General features: G+C 50.0%; 1 protein-coding gene across 5 annotated transcripts in view, besides 4 other annotated features; it reads right to left on the bottom strand.

The window, feature by feature from the left end:
- The window catches only part of OSBP2 (oxysterol binding protein 2), a 214,032-nt gene that overhangs the window by 38,464 nt on the left and 156,487 nt on the right, over positions 1-19,081 (bottom strand). The window lies entirely within an intron of this gene.
- Positions 259-794: an enhancer, noted in NCBI's record as "H3K27ac-H3K4me1 hESC enhancer chr22:31264543-31265078 (GRCh37/hg19 assembly coordinates)". NCBI's record gives its function as "activates a minimal SCP1, AML or CMV promoter by ChIP-STARR-seq in naive and primed H9 embryonic stem cells {active_cell/tissue: H9 hESC(naive and primed)}" and the evidence as "EXISTENCE:reporter gene assay evidence [ECO:0000049][PMID:30033119]".
- Positions 795-1,331: an enhancer, noted in NCBI's record as "H3K27ac-H3K4me1 hESC enhancer chr22:31264006-31264542 (GRCh37/hg19 assembly coordinates)". NCBI's record gives its function as "activates a minimal SCP1, AML or CMV promoter by ChIP-STARR-seq in primed H9 embryonic stem cells {active_cell/tissue: H9 hESC(primed)}" and the evidence as "EXISTENCE:reporter gene assay evidence [ECO:0000049][PMID:30033119]".
- Positions 5,278-5,778: an enhancer, noted in NCBI's record as "H3K4me1 hESC enhancer chr22:31259559-31260059 (GRCh37/hg19 assembly coordinates)". NCBI's record gives its function as "activates a minimal SCP1, AML or CMV promoter by ChIP-STARR-seq in naive H9 embryonic stem cells {active_cell/tissue: H9 hESC(naive)}" and the evidence as "EXISTENCE:reporter gene assay evidence [ECO:0000049][PMID:30033119]".
- Positions 5,779-6,279: an enhancer, noted in NCBI's record as "H3K4me1 hESC enhancer chr22:31259058-31259558 (GRCh37/hg19 assembly coordinates)". NCBI's record gives its function as "activates a minimal SCP1, AML or CMV promoter by ChIP-STARR-seq in naive H9 embryonic stem cells {active_cell/tissue: H9 hESC(naive)}" and the evidence as "EXISTENCE:reporter gene assay evidence [ECO:0000049][PMID:30033119]".

The raw sequence follows: 19,081 nt of genomic DNA, 5'->3' as shown, positions 1-19,081 counted from the left end.
CCCCAGGTGACAGATGAGGAAATCGAGGCTCTGAGAGGTGAAGTCATACCCACACTGCCTGGCTGGCCACCCTCTTCCTTCCGGGCTGCTGAGGCCTCCATGAGAGAGGCAGGCTGTGCCCTCTGCCAGCTCCCACGCCCCCTCTTACCTCTCTCTCACGCAGCTGCCCAGGGCCCCTTTCCTGCCAGCCCAGCCTGCATCTGGGGTTATGGGGCTGTGGGCGTCTCTGGGGGGTGGCGCACCACAGCAGGTGGGGCAGGAGGCAGCTGGCCTAGGGCCAGGCTGCTGTTTAACAATGGCACAGGACACCAAGAGGCTGACACCACCCAGTGAGTCCCAGAGCCTGTAACTGCCAAGGGGTTTCTGAAATGCCTTGTTTAGAAATAATCAGCTAAAAACTATTTTTAGATGAAGAAAATCTGTAACCCAAGATATAAGACTTTTTTTGAAAAATAATGCATACTGTGAGAGAACGTTTCTTCCCACGGCAGGCAAGGTACACGGGGGTGGACATGGCTGAGTCACTGTTCCGAGTGCACGTGGTGTCCATGGCAGGGTCAGGCCAGCCAGCTGCATGGGGCCCAAGCCAAGGGGAGCTGAGGAGGGTGCCCACGGCATACCCTGTCCCCCTCTGGCCACAGGGGCTTGGGTCAGCATCCAGCCAGGAGGCAGGGAGCCTCCCATCACAACTGCAGCCCCCAAATGACAATAACTTGTTATTCAAATGACCGCCTGCCCCTCTCATGGAGGCCCCAGCAGCCCAGAAGGAAGACAGTGGCCAGCCAGGCGGCCTGAGCATGGCTTCACCTCTCAGAGCCTCAATTTCCTCATCTATTGCCTGGGGATGGGACAGTCCCTACCCTGGCAAGGCCATTGAGAGGCCACAGCGTGTCTGCACTCAGAAGCCCAACTGCGGCCCCCAGACGTCTGGAGGCCACACGGGCTGGGCCAGGGTCTGGGCCACTGGCTCCGTAAGCTGTTGCTCTGGGCCTCACGGTAGAGGTCAGTAGACAGTGGCTATTCTTCCCTCCCTGCAGGCAAGAAAATGCAGGTTCTGAGAGGCCAAGCCACCAGCTTAGTGCCCAGCTATTGAGGGGCAGGGTTGGGATCTGAGTCCAGCTCTGTCTGCTCACAAGCCTCCCTTTCTCTGGATCAGCCTTAGAAAGGCTCTAACGGCTGATGTGTACCACACCTTTCCGGGTGCCAGGCTGTGGGTGAGGCGCTGCCTCAGTTAATGCCTGCGAAGACCCCGTGAGGTAGATCTGGGGACGGAAAGGTACATTGAAATTGCCCAGGGCCATGAGGTGAGGAAATTCCTGAGTAGCCAGGTCTCTGGCTTTAGAGCCTGTGCTCTTACCACCTGTCCCTGAGGCACACGTCATCTTCCAGGTTCAGTACATCTAATAACCAGAACGGCCAGCCCCCTGTCCATCAGAATGGCCCCCGGCTCAACACGGGGAGGGCCTTGAGGGGGTATGCCCAATGCAGATGCGGGTCAGCCCAAATGTGACCCCTGCTCTGTAAGCAAGAGCTGGTGAGAGGTACAGTGAGTCTAACTGTAAGCATGTTAGCATCCTTCTGTGTGGCAGGTGGAAGCAGGTAGCCACATTTCTGTATAACTTGTTATTCAAGAGTACACCTTAGTAAGCAGCCCTTAAGGTCCAAATTCAGGTCCCCAGGGACACAGGGACATGCTTGTTCTGGCCTCAAGTCACTGGCCGTGTTGTTGGGGCAGGATGAGAAGGCACTTGGGCCAATGATTACCCATGAGCACAGTCTGTTCTGCAGAGACAGGCAGGGAGAGGTCCCCTCAAAGGGACAGAGAGATCAGGAGAATGAGGGAGGGTAGGACAAGAGAGAGAGGGAATGAGTGAATGAGTGAGTGAATGAATAAGTGCTTCGGGGCCCACCTAGGCCCATGGGTTCCTCCCGGGGTTGGCGATCACACATGAGAAGGCAGGGTTTGAAGAAAGTTGGGGGTAGGTAGGGGTGAGACACAGAGGAGTAGGTTGGAAAGGGGAGAAGGTAAGGGGCCTCTGGCACAGACCAAGGAGACTGGCTCTTTGTCCTCTGGCAAAAGGGAGCATGTGGCAGTTGACAGCAGTCCATGGGAAAGACAAGACTGGTGGCAGGTGGAATCACAGGCGGATAGAGGGACAGAGAGGCCAGGAAGGGGTGGGCTTGGGCAGGAAGGACCCCTGCACCCAGCCCAGGCACACTGATGGTGGCTCCCACCCAGCTCCAAGGCCGTGAACTACCCGTCATAGGCAGGCTCCCATGCATACCCACACACACACCACCCCTCAAGGGAAGGTGGCATCACCCACCTCCCATGTTCTCACAGCAAGACAAGGATGCTGTGACACACACTGAGCACAAGGGGGTGGGCCTCACCCCAAGCCCAGGCAGAGGCACAGCTGAACAATGAAGGGGGCTTGGCCTCCACATGAGTAAACTCTGGCCACACTGAGTCCAGAAGTCTCAGTTCAGAACCGAGAGAGAATGATTTCCTGTCATTTTAAGCCACTTGTTTGTGGTAATTTATTATGGCAGCCCCAGGAAATTAAGACAATGGCTTGAAACAACACACATTTTTTTTTTTTCCTGTTTTTTGAGACAGAGTCTCGCGCTGTCGCCCAGGCTGGAGTGCAGTGGCGCAATCTCGGTTCACTGCAACCTCCACCTCCCAGGTTCACGCGATTCTCCCACTTCAGCCTCCTGAGTAGCTGGCATTACAGGCGTGCGCCACCATGCCTGGCTAATTTTTGTATTTTTAGTAGAGAGGGAGTTTCACTATGTTGGCCAGGCTGGTCTTGAACTCCTGACCTGTGATCCGCCTGCCTTGGCCTCCCGAAGTGCTGGGATCACAGGCCTGAGCCACCGCGCCTGGCCCAGAACACACATTTATTATCTTACAGCTCTGGAAGTCAGGAGTCCTGAAATCCAGGTGTTAGCAGGGCTGCGTTCACTCTGGAGGCTCCAGGGGAGAAGGCGTTGCTTTGCCTTTTCTAGCTTCTGCAGGCTGCCCTTACTCCTTCACTCATAGCCCCTTCCTCCATCTTCAAAGCCAGCAAAGAGGCATCTTCTACTCTCTCTGATCCAGTGATTGTGCTGGGCCCACCTGGGTAATCCAGGAGAATCCGCATCTCAAAATTCTTCATTGTATCTGCAACATCCCTTTCGCCATCTAAGGCAAGCCATCTAAGGCTCTGGGGATTAGGACATGGACATCTTTGGGAGCCATTTCTTGTCTGTCACACTGACTTGCTGTGGCTGGGCTGCACACTGTGCCACATTCTCACTCGCACTGATCATTACGGTCTGATTTACTGCCCGGGACTCGTCCCTGGATGCTCTCGAGTGGGTCACTGAGACTCCCGAGGCCTCACAAGTCCCTCTGTCCTTCCTGCAAAGACTGGCACATTTGCCTTCCTGACCAGGCTGTCTGCATGGAGGTGGCAGCCTGGGGTGGGGAGGCGGCAGTTCTGGGCCAGGCAGTCCTGCTCCTCACTCCACATGGCCTTGGGTAAGTGTGCTGGTCCTTACACCGGGGATATTAGTGGCTGCTCTGGGAAGGATGGTAACCACCCGGTGTGTGGCCAGTGCAGAGCTGGGACTTAACATGTACCAGGGCCTTAGGCCCCTGGCCCGGTCACCTTCCACTGACGCAACTCACTTTTGCACAAAACTGTCTTTTTTTTTTTTTTTTTTTTTTTTTGAGATGGAGTCTTGCTTTGTCACCCAGGCTGGAGTGCAATGGCATGATCTCAGTTCACTGCAACCTCCACCTCCTGGGTTCATGCAATTCTCCTGCCTCAGCCTCCCGAGTAGCTGGGATTACAGGCATGCGTCACAACACCTGGCTAATTTTTGTATCTTCAGCGTAGAGATGGGATGGGGTTTCACTATGTTGGCCAGGCTGGTCTCAAACTCCTGACCTCAAGTGATCCACCCACCTTGGCCTCCCAAAGTGCTGGGATTATAGGCGTGAGCCACCATGCCCGGCCATAACTGTCTTGAGTTTACTTCAAATCATAGAGGCTCGGAACCAGGGGAGGCCCTGTTTGTTTACTGTGCCCCCACACCCCATTCCCCACTCAGGGATCTCCTTGACCCCTGTAATAGGTGGCTCTGGCTGAGGAGGCCACAGGGCACCCCCTCAGGGCTGGGACCCCTCTAACATCAGGAGGCTCCTAGGAAGGAGTGGATTGCCATGGAATCATCTAGCGCAGGGGAGCCAGGTGGGCTATTTTTAGAAGTGGAGCTTTTTTCTCATCTTTGGAGGAAAACAGATCAAGTTTCTCATTGGGGAAGCCCTGTTGGGGGCAGCTTTTTGAAACCAAGAAACTGAAAGGCTGCATAGGCTGGTTATGGACTGGGGGAAGGTGACCCGGTGGTGCTTAGGGGGCAGAGGCCCTGCGGCCACCCCACTTGCTTGCTTGTTTCGGGGAAACTAACTTTGCCCTCACTGCCCGTGAGCTCCTCCAGGGTTAAGGCATAGATGTCCAGCAGGGACCCGTCCCCTCATGGGTGTCACTGGAGAGGAGAGCAGCCCTGAAGCAGGGTGGAAGGATGGCACTCACCCCGCTCACTGCACCCACACCCAGTGCTGGGCTGGATGAGTTTTGGGGGACGTACTGCTAAGATGGGCCTGGCAGGGGACAGGCCGGTGGGGCCTGGGGCTGGGGAGTGGCAAGAGCAGGGGCCTGGGGGAGGATGCTGGGAGCTGCGCACTCACGGGGTCCTGGGCGGGGAAGGACATTCAGACAGCCCATACCCAGCAAGGCTGGAGCAGCACCCACCAACGCCCCATATCCTTTCTCCTTCCTGGTTCTTCAGCCCATCCCAGTGCTGCATGCAGAGACCCTGCACCCTTCGTGCTGCCTTGGGCACTTTCCCACTCCTGAGCCACGCCGCACACACGCATTGCGGGATTTCTTTCTTTCCTCCTCTGCCAGAGCCCCATTGTGGGTCACTTCAATGGTACAGTGCCTGGGGCCCTCAGGCTCCCTCCTTTGGGCTCCCCAGCACTGGGCCCGTTCACCAGCCTCTGGCTAACTGGAGTCACATTTGAGGTATCCAAATATTTAAAAGAATGTGATGTAATCCCAGCACTTTGGGAGGCTGCGGTGGGCGGATCACCTGAGGTCAGGAGTTTGAGACCAGCCTGGCCAATATGGTGAAACCCCATTTCTACTAAAAATACAAAAAATTAGCTGGGCATGGTGGTGGGCACCTGTAATCCCAGCTACTCGAGAGGCTGAGGCAGGAGAATTGCTTGAACCTGGGAGGCGGAGGTTGTAGCAAGCTGAGATTGTGCCACTGCACTCCAGCCTGGGCGACAGAGTCAGACTCCGTTTCAAAAAAAAAAAACAACAAAAAAAAAACATGATGGCTTCTTTGAGAACATGGCTCAGAACTTGCTTATTTCCTGCATGTCCACAGACCAGGCAGGGCCCTGAGGGGAGCAAAGAAAGAGAAGCCTCGCGCTGCTCCCCACTCCCCACAGCAGGCATGCCTGCATCAGTGCAGTATAGGGGCTGCTGTGTCGGAGGCTGATATCCAACTGTCAGTCACCAGCAGGATTCGCTCTGACCAGTGGACCTCCCTCGGGCCCACAGTGTGATTAATGGAGACAGGCACTGCTGTCCCTCCCCTCTCTGCAGAGCGAAGTTCAAGTATGCAGGACTGGGAATGGGCAAGGCCTAGTCCCCGAGCCCTGGCAACTTTCCAGCCCATGACCTTGTCCTCAAGCGGTCACTGCTCTCTGGGACTCCCATCACAAGGCTCCAGACCCCCAGAGCAGGGCATTCATTGCATCTTGAGCACTACCGACTTTAAGCAGGGCATGCATCCTATTTTGTCACAGTCTGGCTATGCAAAAAGACATTCCACCCCCACGTGGGGGCTCTGAGGAGAAACAGCGCAGTGGTGTCATTGGTTTCCAGTGAGGACTGCGGGGGCGCTGCACCCTCGCCAGAAAACTGCACCCTCGCCAGAAAACAGCCATTCCCAGCCCGTGTGGTTGGCGCCTCCAACATTCAATTACAGCAGCTTTGGTGACTTTGATTTAGATTTGGGAGGGCTGTTAAGCTGCCTGAGCCTGATCACAAAATCCAATCGGCCAGATGCTGATAACAGAGAGAAAGGCTTGGGGTGGGAGTCTGGGGGATATCAAGCAACGTCACCGTGTTTGAGAACGAACAGCCCAGTTGCTGGGTGACTGCCTCCTCTGCACTTCCAGCTGTTGGGTGGTTTCCACATGTTACATGGTATTCTGCAAGTGTCACCCCCAGAAGAGGAAAGGGTGTGGCATGAAGAGTTAGGAGCCTGCCCAAGACCCCAAGTCTGTTGATTATTTTTTCTTTTTTTCTTTTTTTTTTTTTTGAGACAGAGTCACCCGGGCTGGAGTGCAGTGGCAAAATCTCGGCTCATTGCAACCTCCGCCTACCAGGTTCAAGCAATTCTCCTGCCTCAGCCTCCCGAGTAGCTGGGATTACAGGCGCCCGCCACCACACCTGGCTAACTTTTTGTATTTTTAGTAGAGACGGGGTTTCACTATGTTGGCCAGGCTGGTCAGGAACGCCTGACCTTGTGATCCACCCACCTTAGCCTCCCAAAGTGCTGGGATTACAGGCACAAGCCACCGCGCCTAGCCTTTTTTTTCTTTGAGATGGAATCTCACTCTCTCACCCAGGTTGGAGTACAGTGGCACGATCTCGGCTCACTGCAACCTCCACCTCCCAGGTTCAAGTGAGTCTCCTGCCTCAGCCTCCCCAGTAGCTGAGATTACAGGCATGTGCCACCAGGCCCAGCTAATTTTTGAATTTTTAGTAGAGACAGGGTTTAACCATATTGGCCAGGCTGGTCTTGAACTCCTGACCTCAGGCGATCTGCCTGCCTCACCCTCCCAAAGTGCTAGGATTACAGGCTTGAGCCACTGTGCCTGGCCTGCTGATCTTTACCGACAGCCTAGTGGCACCTGCCACCCCCATGGCCCTGGAGGCCAAGAGACCACAGCAGCCTGCTAGGCCAGGGGCTGTGGGACCAGGTGGGCCCCCTGCCCAGCCTGCCCTGCTGCTGCCCTCCAACCTGGCCTAGAGGGGGCAGGCGGGGAGCGGAAGCCCTGCCTTGGAGTGGCACTAGAGGAGGACCCAGCCCCTCCAGGCTAGGGCTGCCAACGCTCTGCCCACTCAGGCAATGGAGAAGGAGAGTCTGCGAGGTCTTCGGCGAGCTTCCAAAAGAACAGGGAGCCTCTGACCAGACACAGGAGGGGTCACACAGGAGCCACTGGGTGAGAGTTGGGAGATGACTTTAGGCTGCAGGTAGGGCTCTGAGAAGGCTTTTGGGATGAGGTGGCAGCTTTACAGCTGGTGCAGGATGGTGACTTAGTGGCAGGTGGCACGGGAGGAAGATGCCGCTCCAGGGAGAGGAAGGGGCAGGAGCCCCAGGACAGAGGTGGAACGGGCCAGCGCTCGGACCCTGAGCCCCCCTGAAGCTGCAAGTGGGAGATAGAAGCGGCGAGGGCCCCTGGGAGCAGGAGCAGCGCCCCTGAGGCACAGCCAGTCCTTCCTGATTGGGGAACCCAGAAAGATAACAGATCTGCCTTACCCAAAGTGGGCCCTGTGGGGGTTCTGCCACAAAAGGGATCATTAAAAATAAAGACCCCTGGGTAACCAGACAAGTGACGCCACTCCTCTACAAGAGGCAGGCGGCTGAAGACTCCGAGACGTTCAACCTGAGGACGCTGGAAGGCACGTCAGGATCTAATCTGATGGAAAATCAGATAATAATAAATAATAAATCACGAAACTCTGGCAGGCAGATGGAAAACCCAAGCCAGAGCGCCAGTGTCATCTCAGTTCTCGGGGCCTCTCCGTAGGCCCCTCTCTCCTCATCTCCTGCTGCAGCGAGTGCTAAGTGTGCCTGGGGCATTGCAGGAAGCTGAGGAGACCACATCTGGGCTCTCTGACAACTTCTCCAGGCGAGGGGTGCAGGGCTTCCGCCCTACCAGGGACACCTATTACCAAGGCCAGGGTGGGGCCTGTGGGATGGGGCACCCAGGCCCGCCATATAAATATCAGGCTTTGCTTCCATTTCACTGGAGCTGCTGTGGCAGAAACTCCATCAATAAACATCAATCTGTAGGCTGGTCTCTGTGGGGCTGAGTCTTATGACTTCTCAGGGGAAATCACTTCCCAATACCCCCGGGCCGGCTAGAGAGATCGACAAGCACAAATCCCAGAGGACAAAGAAACTCCCCTCCTTCCCTTTCACTGGGGGAACCAGGGCACATGGTCAAAGTCATGAACCAAAACGAGGGGTGAACAATAGAGGCACATGAGACAAGCTAGGGCGCCTCCTCACTCAGAAGAGGGCTGTGACCTAGAGCTGCATACTTCGCTCGGCTGTCCTGGGGATGATGGACAGCACCGGGCAGCCAGGCCCACTTCAGGAAAGTCACACAGGCACAGAAATGGAGCACAAAATAGTGGTGCCTGCTCCAATTCTGGCAACCGCCATGATGCTAAAGATGGCCTGCTGCCCACAGCTTCCTCCAGCCGGCAGAACACCCAGCCTACCCACAGCCTCCACCCTACCAGGGTTCCCACAGGGTTGCCTCGAAGGAATGAGGGTGCCTGCCCTAGATCCAGCTCTGTGGTGGGCTCACTCACTCACCCTGTGTAGGTTTGAGTTTCACCCCAAGGTAGAGGGGTGGCTGCCCAGGCCAGGACTTCCACAGGGCTGTTCTTGAGCCCAGCCTGGCAGATGCATGAAGGACAGACCCCATGCCAGCTGGGCCCAGGAATCTGCCCATGGGGCTGCAGCCCCCTCCTCTGGCGCGAAGTGAGCCTGGCAAGATGCTCAGCTTCTCCCCTGAGCCCTGTTTGACAGCATGGAAGGGGCTCAGCTGAAGCACTCAGGCTCCCTCTTCCTCCTCTGATCCCCTGTGGTTAAGACCAGGGACCCACCTGCTTCTTGTCAAGGCCCTAGCCTCCCAAGTTGGCTGGTTTCTAGACAAGAGCCTCCTCTTGTCTAGGGCTCACTCTAAACCCCAACCCACCCATCTGCCTGCCCACTGCCTGCTCCGAGATACAATCAGAAACTCCTGCCTGAAGGCTCAAGCATCCTGGGCGATGGGACTGACTGGTAACTTGGGGGTAGGAAGGATATTGGTATTTTTTTTTATTTTTTTAACTAATCAGCTGAATTTAAGATTCAAGCATCAATATGGTGAAACAGATTCTCTAGGAGCCTTTAGTGCTGTAGCCAAGGTAAGAACCACTGGGTTAGATGCTACCTCAGGTCCTGCCAGCTTTAACGTCCCATAATAGCAAGTTCCAGCTCCATCCCTTGCTCCACATTTGTCCCTCATGGCCTGGGTGCTGCCTCCTAGCTCTGCAGAGAGGGGCCGGGGGCGGCGGCCAGGCATCCTGGCTCCAGGGCTCCCTCTCCAGTGCTCCGTGCTGCCTCCTGGGTAACCAAAGGAGAGGAAAAAAGCTCTCCCAGGGTCCTGACATCTCGGGAAATTAAACTTTCCTTTGTTCCACATTGAAGTCTAGCCTTTGTCCACATAACACAAATTCAGTTTGGTGTTTTGCTTTTTCATCCGGCCCATCATGCTTTTCCCAGTCTCTACGATTTGGTTCCTTGTTAGCGGCTGCCCCATATTACACCTGGTTATAGGCCATGTCCTCCCATGGCACCAGCTCTTTGGGCTGTGGAGGAAGGCCCTTTTTTCAGCCCTCGTTGGCATGTGGAAGGGTGCTGCCCTTGGCCCAACTCCTAGCACAGCTCCCCTGAAACCACTGGCCCTACCAACGGGCTCGCCACACGGCCTGGTGCCTAGCTTCTCCCAGCCAGTCACCAGGCACCAGCAGACCTGGTCACCCTGCTGATGGTTGTGGGGTCAGCAATCCCTGACCAGTGAGGGGGATCCTTTAGTGGACAAGGAAGAGACCCACCTATGTGAGCATTTCCTTTGACACAATGCAAACACCTGTCTCAAGGCCAGAGCAAGAGGGACTTTGTTCTAAGGTGAGTATTTGGTGACCCACACTGGAGAAGCCACTGATCTCGGACGGTGCCAGGACTGTTGAGCAGGTCACTGGAAACTACTGGGATGGGATGACACTTTCCTGGCCTGGAGACAGCCAGCGCGGCTTCTCCTTGGAAATCATCTGATGCCCCGGTAATCATACTAAACCATTTTCCACACGCGGCTGCCTCTAGGTATCAATGCTGGAGCGCAAGCTGAGACAGAGGGCCCTGGCGGGGAAAGGGTTCCGCCACTAGGAACCATGGGGCCCTGAAGGGGTAGGGGCTGCATCTGCCTGGTTGACGCTCACAGCCTGGAGCTGGGTGCGTGGGAGGTACTAAATAGGAACCTATTGAATGAATGGATGGCACGAGAAATATCAGAATGGGAATGCTTTTATTATTATTATTATTATTATTATTATTATTATTGAGACAGAGTCTCGCTCTTGTCACCCAGCCTGGAGTGCAGTGGTACGACATTGGCTCACTGCAACCTCCATCTCCCGGGTTCAAGCAGTTCTCCTGCCTCAGCCTCCTGAGTAGCTGGGATTACAAGCATCCACCACCACACCTGGCTAATTTTTGTATTTTTAGTAGAGACGGGGTTTTACCATGCTGGCCAGGCTGGTCTTGAACTCCTGACCTCAGGTGATTTGCCCGCCTCAGCCTCCCAAAGTACTGGGATTACAGGTGTGAGCCACCGTCCCTGGCCAGGAAAGGGTTTTATAAACTGTAAGGTAGTGTGTAGGTATTTGCCATGAAGAGGATTAGGGTGCTGTGGGGTTAGGAAGAGTCCAGGTTTTGAGTTTTTCTTTCTGCTGCCCCTGCCTCTTGAGCTAATAAAGGAATAAAAAACAAAGTGAGGCCGGGCGCGGTGGCTCACACCTGTAATCCCAGCACTTTGGGAGGCCGAGGTGGGTGGATCATGAGGTCAGGAGATCGAGACCATCCTGGCTAACAAGGTGAAACCCCGTCTCTACTAAAAATACAAAAAATTAGCCGGGCGCGGTGGCGGGCGCCTGTAGTCCCAGCTACTGGGGAGGCTGAGGCAGGAGAATGGCGTGAACCCGGGAAGCGGAGCTTGCAGTGAGCCGAGATTGCGCCACTGCAGTCCGCAGTCCGGCCTGGGCGACAGAGCGAGACTCCGTCTCAAAAAACAAACAAACAAACAAACAAACAAAAAAAAAACAAAGTGAATCACAACCTGATTATCTTGTGATTCTCCCCATGATTGGTCCCCCTTGGCGAGGCCTAGCTGCGCAGTGCCTGCAAAGATCCTCTCTTTCCCCCGGCATACTTTCTCCGGACACCCTCCCGCCTCTTCTGTCTGCAGTGTAGTGGGCAGGTGTTCCAGGAGGCCCTTCAGCGACATTTACTGACAGGCTGGGTTGGCCGAGTTCTGCAGAGAGCACGGAAGAGACCCACAGTGCCTGCTGAGGGGAAACCTCTTACTCCACACAGGCAGATTCATGTGTCTTAAATGAATAGGGGATGAGGGGGCCTCCTTAGTTTACTCCGAGTAAGAGATGCCTTTCCCTTTCATGACTCAAGCAGACCTGGGAGTCCCACCTTATCTCCCACCCCATGCACAGTCATTACGTAACATCTTAACCTTCAGTCTTCATCTACAAAATGGGTTAATGCCTGTAAAGTGCTTAACACAGTGGCTGGCCCGCAATGAGGAGGCTACAAGCATTGGCCATTATTACTTGGCTATAAAATGGACCCATGTTCGAGGTAGAAAAATAAAAATGCTCTGTAGAGAAAAGCAAAGCACAAAGTAGCAAAGAAACAATCTCCAGTGATTCTCCCCAAGATAACCTCGGCCAACCTGTCCCATATCGGTCGCGACTATTTCCGGCCCACCCAAATGCGCTGCAGAGAATGGGGTTCTCAGCTTAAAGCGTCCATCTGTCCACCAGTCGGCTGTGTAACTTCACACAGGTGCCCTCCCCTGGGCCTCGGTGTTTGCTCCTGTAAAAGGAGGAGCTCCCAGGGAACAAGCCCACATTTCTCTGTAAACAAGGCCCCAGCTGCTAACACAAGCACTAGCCCTCCAGGCCCATCATTGCCTCCCTCATCCCACCTCCTGCACCCACATGCCTGCTGGACTGAGTGGGGGCAGTCACCCCCATCGCTTAGAGGGTCCCTGCCAGGGGGGCTGCTGCAGTCACTACCGTCGGCTGGTAGCTTCCAAGGCATGCCTTGGTGAAAAGCTCTCCAAGCAGTTTTTGCAAAGGAGAAAAATCAATCTCAAAATAATGAGGCTCCAGAAAGGTCCACATTCAGGAAGGAAGTTGCTTAAGAGGAGAGTGGCCAAAGACAAATGAGGTGGGACTTAAGCCAGTCCCTTTCCTCGAGAGGGAGAAAATGCAGAATGTCACCCCCAGCCTGACAGCCCCTTGCTTGGGCCACCTCCGCTCAGCCACCTGGGGAGGACAGCTGCTTCCTAAGGGGCCAGTAGGCTTCATTCTCTGGGTTCTTGGCAGTTACATTTCTTACTATAAATTCATAATTTTTTTTTTTTTTCTAAAAGAAATGAAAATGAGAAATTCCAAGATGTGATGGTATTTTTCAAAAACCTAAAGGTGAATAATTGTTCCTCAAAAATGAAGGGCTCTTGGCTGGGCATGGTGGCTCATGCCTGTAATCTCAGCACTTTGGGAGGCCACGGCAGGCGGATCACTTGAGGTCAGGAGTTCGAGACCAGCCTGACCAACGTGGCAAAATCCCGTCTCTACTAAAAATACAAAAATTAGTCAGGCATGGTGGCGCATGCCTGTAGTCCCAGCTACTCAGGAGGCTGAGGCAGGAGAATTGCTTGAATCTGGGAGGTAGAGGTTTCAGTGAGCTGACATCATGCCACTGCACTCCAACCTGGGCTACAGAGCAAGACCCTGTCTCCAAAAAAAAAAAAAAAAAAAAAAAAAAAAAAGAAGGGCTCTGTTTCCAACTGCCAAGTCTCAGTGACTAAGAGCTGGTGCTCGGGCAGAACATTCTGACTCAGGAACCTTCTGGTGTGGAGGCATGGTAGAGGTAAAGACCACAGTGAAGCCAAGGGAGGGAAAAGGGGCAGAAATGGAGAGATGGAGGGGTGAAGGGGTATAGGGGTAGGAGGCAAAGAAGGAAAAGAAGATCCTTATCTCAGAGCAGGGCTAGAGTGGGGGCCACCTGCCCACCTCAGGCCATGCCAGCAGGTTTTTCTACCCCAGTCCTCAGGACCCCACTACTCAACAGCTGATCCCTGAGCCCACAGGAGGCTCCTCAAAGCCCAACCAATGCCAGGTCCCCAGAGCCTAGCTGGGACCTTCCTCTCAACTCCCCAGGGGCCCCTCACATAGCCTGCAGGGATGAGGAAGAAACCTGGACATACCCAACAATGCACATGCCATGCAGTCTGTGACGATGGCTGAAAATGATCTGGCAAAATCTGAACTCTCCCAGTCAGGCAGGCTTGAATTACAACCAGTCTGCAGAGGTCCAACAACTTTGGGCCAAGTTTCCACCTAAGACCTATTTCAGATTAACTCAATAATGGCCTGGATGGGGCTCCTCTTAAATAGGTCACCCTGTGGCTGCGAACTTTCTGGTGTCCTTGCCCCAGGCCTACTAGCGCTAGAAGAGACAGGCTCTGATTAGCATGTAGTGGGGGCCATGAGGCTTTGAAGGGCTGTGCTGAGGAATATCAAAGGCTGCTTAGGACCAGAGGGCCTTGGGGCCTTGGAATAAAAGGCCCCTTTTCTTAGAGCAGGTCTTGAAGACAGAGACCTGTGCAGCACCAGCAACAGCTACCATTCTTGCTGACAGCACAGAATCACTTTACCGTTCATTAAGCATTTGGCAAGACAGTCCCCCTGGGGCAACCACACGCCTGTGCTGTGGGCTCTCCTTCTGGCCCCCTTTAACATCAAGGGTGCTAAGGTTCTGTGAGGCAAAGGTGCCGGCCCACAGTCATCTGGTGGGCAGCTTTGGCTCTGGGATTGAGAAGGAATGGGCCAGGGCAGTAGGGCATGTAAGCCAAAAGACAAAGGAACAGCATCTTCACTCTGCTGAAAGAAAAAAGCCTAGAACTATATAGCCTGTTAGAAGCCCCTTCCAAAATGAAGGGGAAAAAGATATTTTCAGACAAGTAAAACCTGTGAGAATTTGTTGTCACTTGACCTACTCATATGGTTTGGCTGTGTCCCCACCCAAATCTCATTCTGAATTGTAGTTCCCATAATCCCCACATGTCGTGGGAGGGGCCAGGTAGAGATAACTGAATCATGCAAGCAGTTTCCCCCATACTGTTCTTGTGACAGTTCCCACGCGATCTGATGGTTTTATAAGTTGGCTTTCACCCAACTTCGCTCTGTTCTCCTTGCTGCTGCCATGTGAAGAAGGACATGTTTGCTTCCCCTTCCACCACGACTGTAAGTTTCTTGAGGCCTCCCCAGCCATGCTGAACTGTGAGTCAACTAAACCTCTTTCCTTTATAAATTATCCAGTCTTGGGTATGTCTTTATTAGCAGCGTGAGAACAGACAAGTACACTTACTCCATAAGAGATGTTAAAGGAAGTTCTTCAAGCTGAAAGAAAAGCATACCAAATAAAAGCTCAAATCCAGACAAAGGCAAGAAGAAAGATAAATATGTGAGTAAATATAAAAGGTGCTTTTTTTTTTTTTTTCACTTTAAATGTTACTTAAAGATAACCATATAGGGCGGGTGTGTTGGCTCACACCTGTAATCCCAGCACTTTGGGAGGCTGAGGCGGGTGGATTACCTGAGATCAGGAGTTTGAGGCCACCCTGGCCAACATGGTGAAGTCCTATCTCTACTAAAAATTCAAAAATTAGCCGGGCATGGTCGTGCGTGCCTGTAATTCCAGCTACTTGGGAGGCTGAGGCAGGAGAATCACTTGAACCTGGGAGGTGGAGGTTGCAGTGAGCCAAGATCATGCCACTGCACTCCAGCCTGGGCAACAGAGTGAGACCCTGTCTCAAAAAAAAAAAAAAAAAAAAGATAACTGTATAAAGCAAGAAAACAAAGAGAAAACAAAGTGTATTGTAGGGTTACATCCATCATGTGTAAAACAGGACACAGCACACACAATGACACAGCAAAACAGGACACAGCACAGACAACAGAAGTACACTGTTGTAAATTTCTTAGGTTTCAGCTGAAGTGGTGAATTATTTGGAAGGAGACTGCCGTAAGTTAAAAATGCGTACTGTAAACCCTAGAACAACCACTAAGAAAAGAGAGGTGAGGCCTGGCGCAGTGGCTCACACCTGTAATCCCTGCACTTTAGGAGGCCGAGGTGGGCGGATGATGAGGTCAGGAGATCGAGACCATCCTGGCTAACACGGTGAAACCCCGTCTCTACTAAAGATACAAAAAATTAGCCGGGCATGGTGGCGGGCGCCTGTAATCCCAGCTACTCAGGAAGCTGAGGCGGGAGAATCGCTTGAACCCCGAGGAGGCAGAGCTGAGATGGCACCATTGCACTCCAGCCTGGGGGACAGAGCGAGACTCTGTCTCAAAAAAAAAAAAGAAAGAAAGAAAAAAGAGGTGAATAGCTTATGAGCTAGTAGAAGAAAAAAAATTTAACACTAAAAACAACAGGAATGGAGGAAAAAAGTGAAAAGTAGATGAGAAAAAACAGCAAAATAGATTTAATAATTACGTTATATTAAAATCGTCTCAGCACTTCAATTAAAAGTCAGAGACTTTATCAGGCTGGATAAAAAAAGGAAGATTCATTATATGTTAACAAGAATAAAACTCCTTTAAATATTAAAAAATAGATAAAATAACCAATCATATGTTTTCTGTAAGAAATACACTTTAAATATAATGATACAAATAGGGTAAAAGTAAAAGATTGGGAAAAGAAACACCATGCAAACAGCACTCACAAGAGATTTAACTTTAGAAAGCAAACTTTTGGACAGAGATAAAGATGGAAATTTCATTATGATGAAAGAGTCAGTTCATCAAGATAACACAAACTCCTGGATGTGCACGTGCCTCGTGACAGAGCTTAAAGGTACATGAAGCAAAAACAGAAATAAGAGGAGAAAGACAAATCTAACATAGTTAGTGGTTTCAATACGATAATACAATACAGCTGATAGAAGTAGATAAAACTAGTATGGATTTAGAACACATCAATCTTCAAGTCTCCTTTATCAACTGAATTGACCTAATTGACATTTACAGAACTCTACATCCTACGATGGCAGAACACACATTCTTTTCAACAATACATGAAACATTCACCAAGACAGAATGTATGCTGGGCCATAAACCAACTCTCAAATTTTAAACGATAAAGAGTATCTCCTCTGGATATGAAAGAAGTACATTAGACAACAATAACAAAAATATATCTGGAAAAAAACCCCGAATATATGGAAATTAAGCCAGACACTTTTCAATAGCCAATGGGTTGAATAACTGGAAATTAGAAAACATTCTGAAATGAAAGATAAAAAAATACAACATATCGAAATGTGTGGAATGAAGCTAAGGTAGTGCCTGGAGGAAAATTCATAGCTTTATATATTATTTTTGGAAAAGAAGAAAGATTTAAAGTTAATAATCCAAGCCTCTACATTAAGAAGCTAGAAAAAGAGGAGTAAATTATATTCAAAGTGAGTAGAATAAAATAGAGATAAAAGCAGAAATAAACAAAATAAAAACAGAATTTAGAAAGTTAAACTAAAGGCTTTGAGAAGCTTTTCTTTGAAAAGATCAATAAAATTGATAAATCTCTAGCTAGGGCAGTCAAGAAATAAAAAAAAATACAAATTATCAATGATAGAAATGAAAGAAGGAACATTATTATTGATCCTGTTGACATTAAAGGATATTATAAGGATATTACAAAAAAAGTTACACCAATAAATTCAACACCTTTGATTAAAAGGAAACTTCCTTGAAAGAACCAATTACCAAAAATGACACAAGAAATAAAAATCAGATAAGCCCTTTATAAAGAAACTCAATTTAAAAATCTTTTCCTCAGAGAAAACTCAGGTCCAAATGGTGGCCCTGGCAAATTCTACCAAATGTTTAAGGAAGAAATAATACACTTCTTACCCAAAGTTTTTCAGAAAATAGGGGGTAGAAACAATTCACAATCATCCTATGAGGCCAATATCACACTGAAAGCAAAAGCAGAAAGACATCACAAGAAAAACTACAAGCCCCTAAACCCTTATGACTATGGATGCAAATTTCCTTGACAAAATATTAGCAAATGGAAATCAGCAAAAAAGGATAACACATTATGGACAAGTGGGGTTTATCTCAGGCGTGCAAGGTTTAAGGTTTGAAATACAACTCATATTAATGGTATCAAGAAAAATGTAAATTCAATAAATACTGAAAAAGTTTCTGGCTGTAGAATTATTTAAGAAACAGAAATACTAAAAAAGCATTTAAGAAAATTCAATAACCCTTCCGGATAAAAACAGAAAACTAGGAAGAAGGAGGAACTTCCTCACCATTATAAAAGGCATCTATAAAAATCTTACAGTTATCATCATACTTAATGATGAAAAGTTGAACTCTTTTCTCTAAAATAAATTTTCCTTATTCCTAAAACCAGAAATAAACTTCCTGGTTTAGGAATAAAATTCCTAAAACTTATTATTAGAAATAATAAGTCATGTCTGCTATTACCACTTCTACTCAACATTACATTAGAAGTTCCAGTCAGTGCAATAAGGCAAGAAAAAGAAACCAAAAGCATATGGGTTAGAAAGGAAGAAATGAAAAAGGTTTTACTTACAGATAACATGATCACATTGTGTTAGAAAGCCCTAAAGAATCTAAAGAAAAGCCACATGAACTAAAATGTGAATTTAGAAAGACTGTGGAATAAAAGGTCAATATATAACAATCATTTTTCTGAAATACTAGCAATGAACAACTGGAAAATGACATTTAAAAATAATACCATTTAGGCCATGGACGGTGGCTTATGCCTGTAATCCCAGCCCTTTGGGTGGATTATCTGAGGTCAGGGCTTGAGACAAGCCTGGCCAACATGGTAAAACCCCATCTCTACTAAAAAAAAAAAATACAAAAATTAGCCATGTATGCGTGGCGCATGCCTGTAATTCTAGCTACTCAGGAGGCTGAGGCAGGAGAATTATATGAACCTGGGAGGAGGAAGTTGCAGTGAGCCAAGATCATGCCACTGCACTCCAGCCTGGCCAACAGAGTGAGACTCTGTCTCAAAAAAACAATAAAATAAAAATAGTACCATTTAAAATGACATCAAAAACAGTAAATACAAATAAGTTTAACAAAATATGTGAAAGACAACACATGGCTAAGATAAATTAAAGACCTAAATAAATGGAGAGACATACCAAGTTCATGGATTGGAAACTTAAATATTGTTAAAATATCAATTTTCCACAATTAATGTATAGATTCAATGCAATCCCATTCAGTAACCCAGGAGACTTTTTGTTGAAATTGACAAGCCAATTCTTAAATCTATATAGAAAATCAGGCCGGGTGCAGTGCCTCACGCCTGTAATCCCAGCATTTTGGGAGGCCCAGGCGGGTGGATCACTTGAGGTCAGGAGTTCAAGACCAGCATGGCCAACATGGTGAAACCCTGCCTCTATTAAAAATACAAAATTAGCCAGGCATGATGGCACGCACCTGTAATCCCAGTTACTTGGGAGGCTAAGGCAGGAGTATTGTTTGAACCCAGGAGGCGGAGGTTGCAGTGAGCGGAGATCACACCACTGCACTCTAGCCTGGGTGACAGAGTGAGATGCTGTCTCAAAAATCAAAGGATGAAGAATAGCCAAAACAGTTTTGGAAAACAAGAACAAACCTGGAGGACTTAAATTACCTACTAACATGATTTACTATACAACTAAAATAATCAAGGCAGTGTAGTATTGGCGTAAGTATGGACTTATAATGGAACATAGCAGAGTTCAGAAATAGACATGCACATATGTGATCAACTGAATTTTTTTTTTTTTTTTTGAGACAGAGTCTAGCTCTGTTACCCAGGTTGAAGTGCT

This window comes from Homo sapiens, chromosome 22 (assembly GCF_000001405.40).
Source record: "Homo sapiens chromosome 22, GRCh38.p14 Primary Assembly".
NCBI lineage: Eukaryota > Metazoa > Chordata > Mammalia > Primates > Hominidae > Homo > Homo sapiens.
Note: the sequence above shows the minus strand (reverse complement) of the source record. Positions and strands in the feature narration are given on the sequence as shown.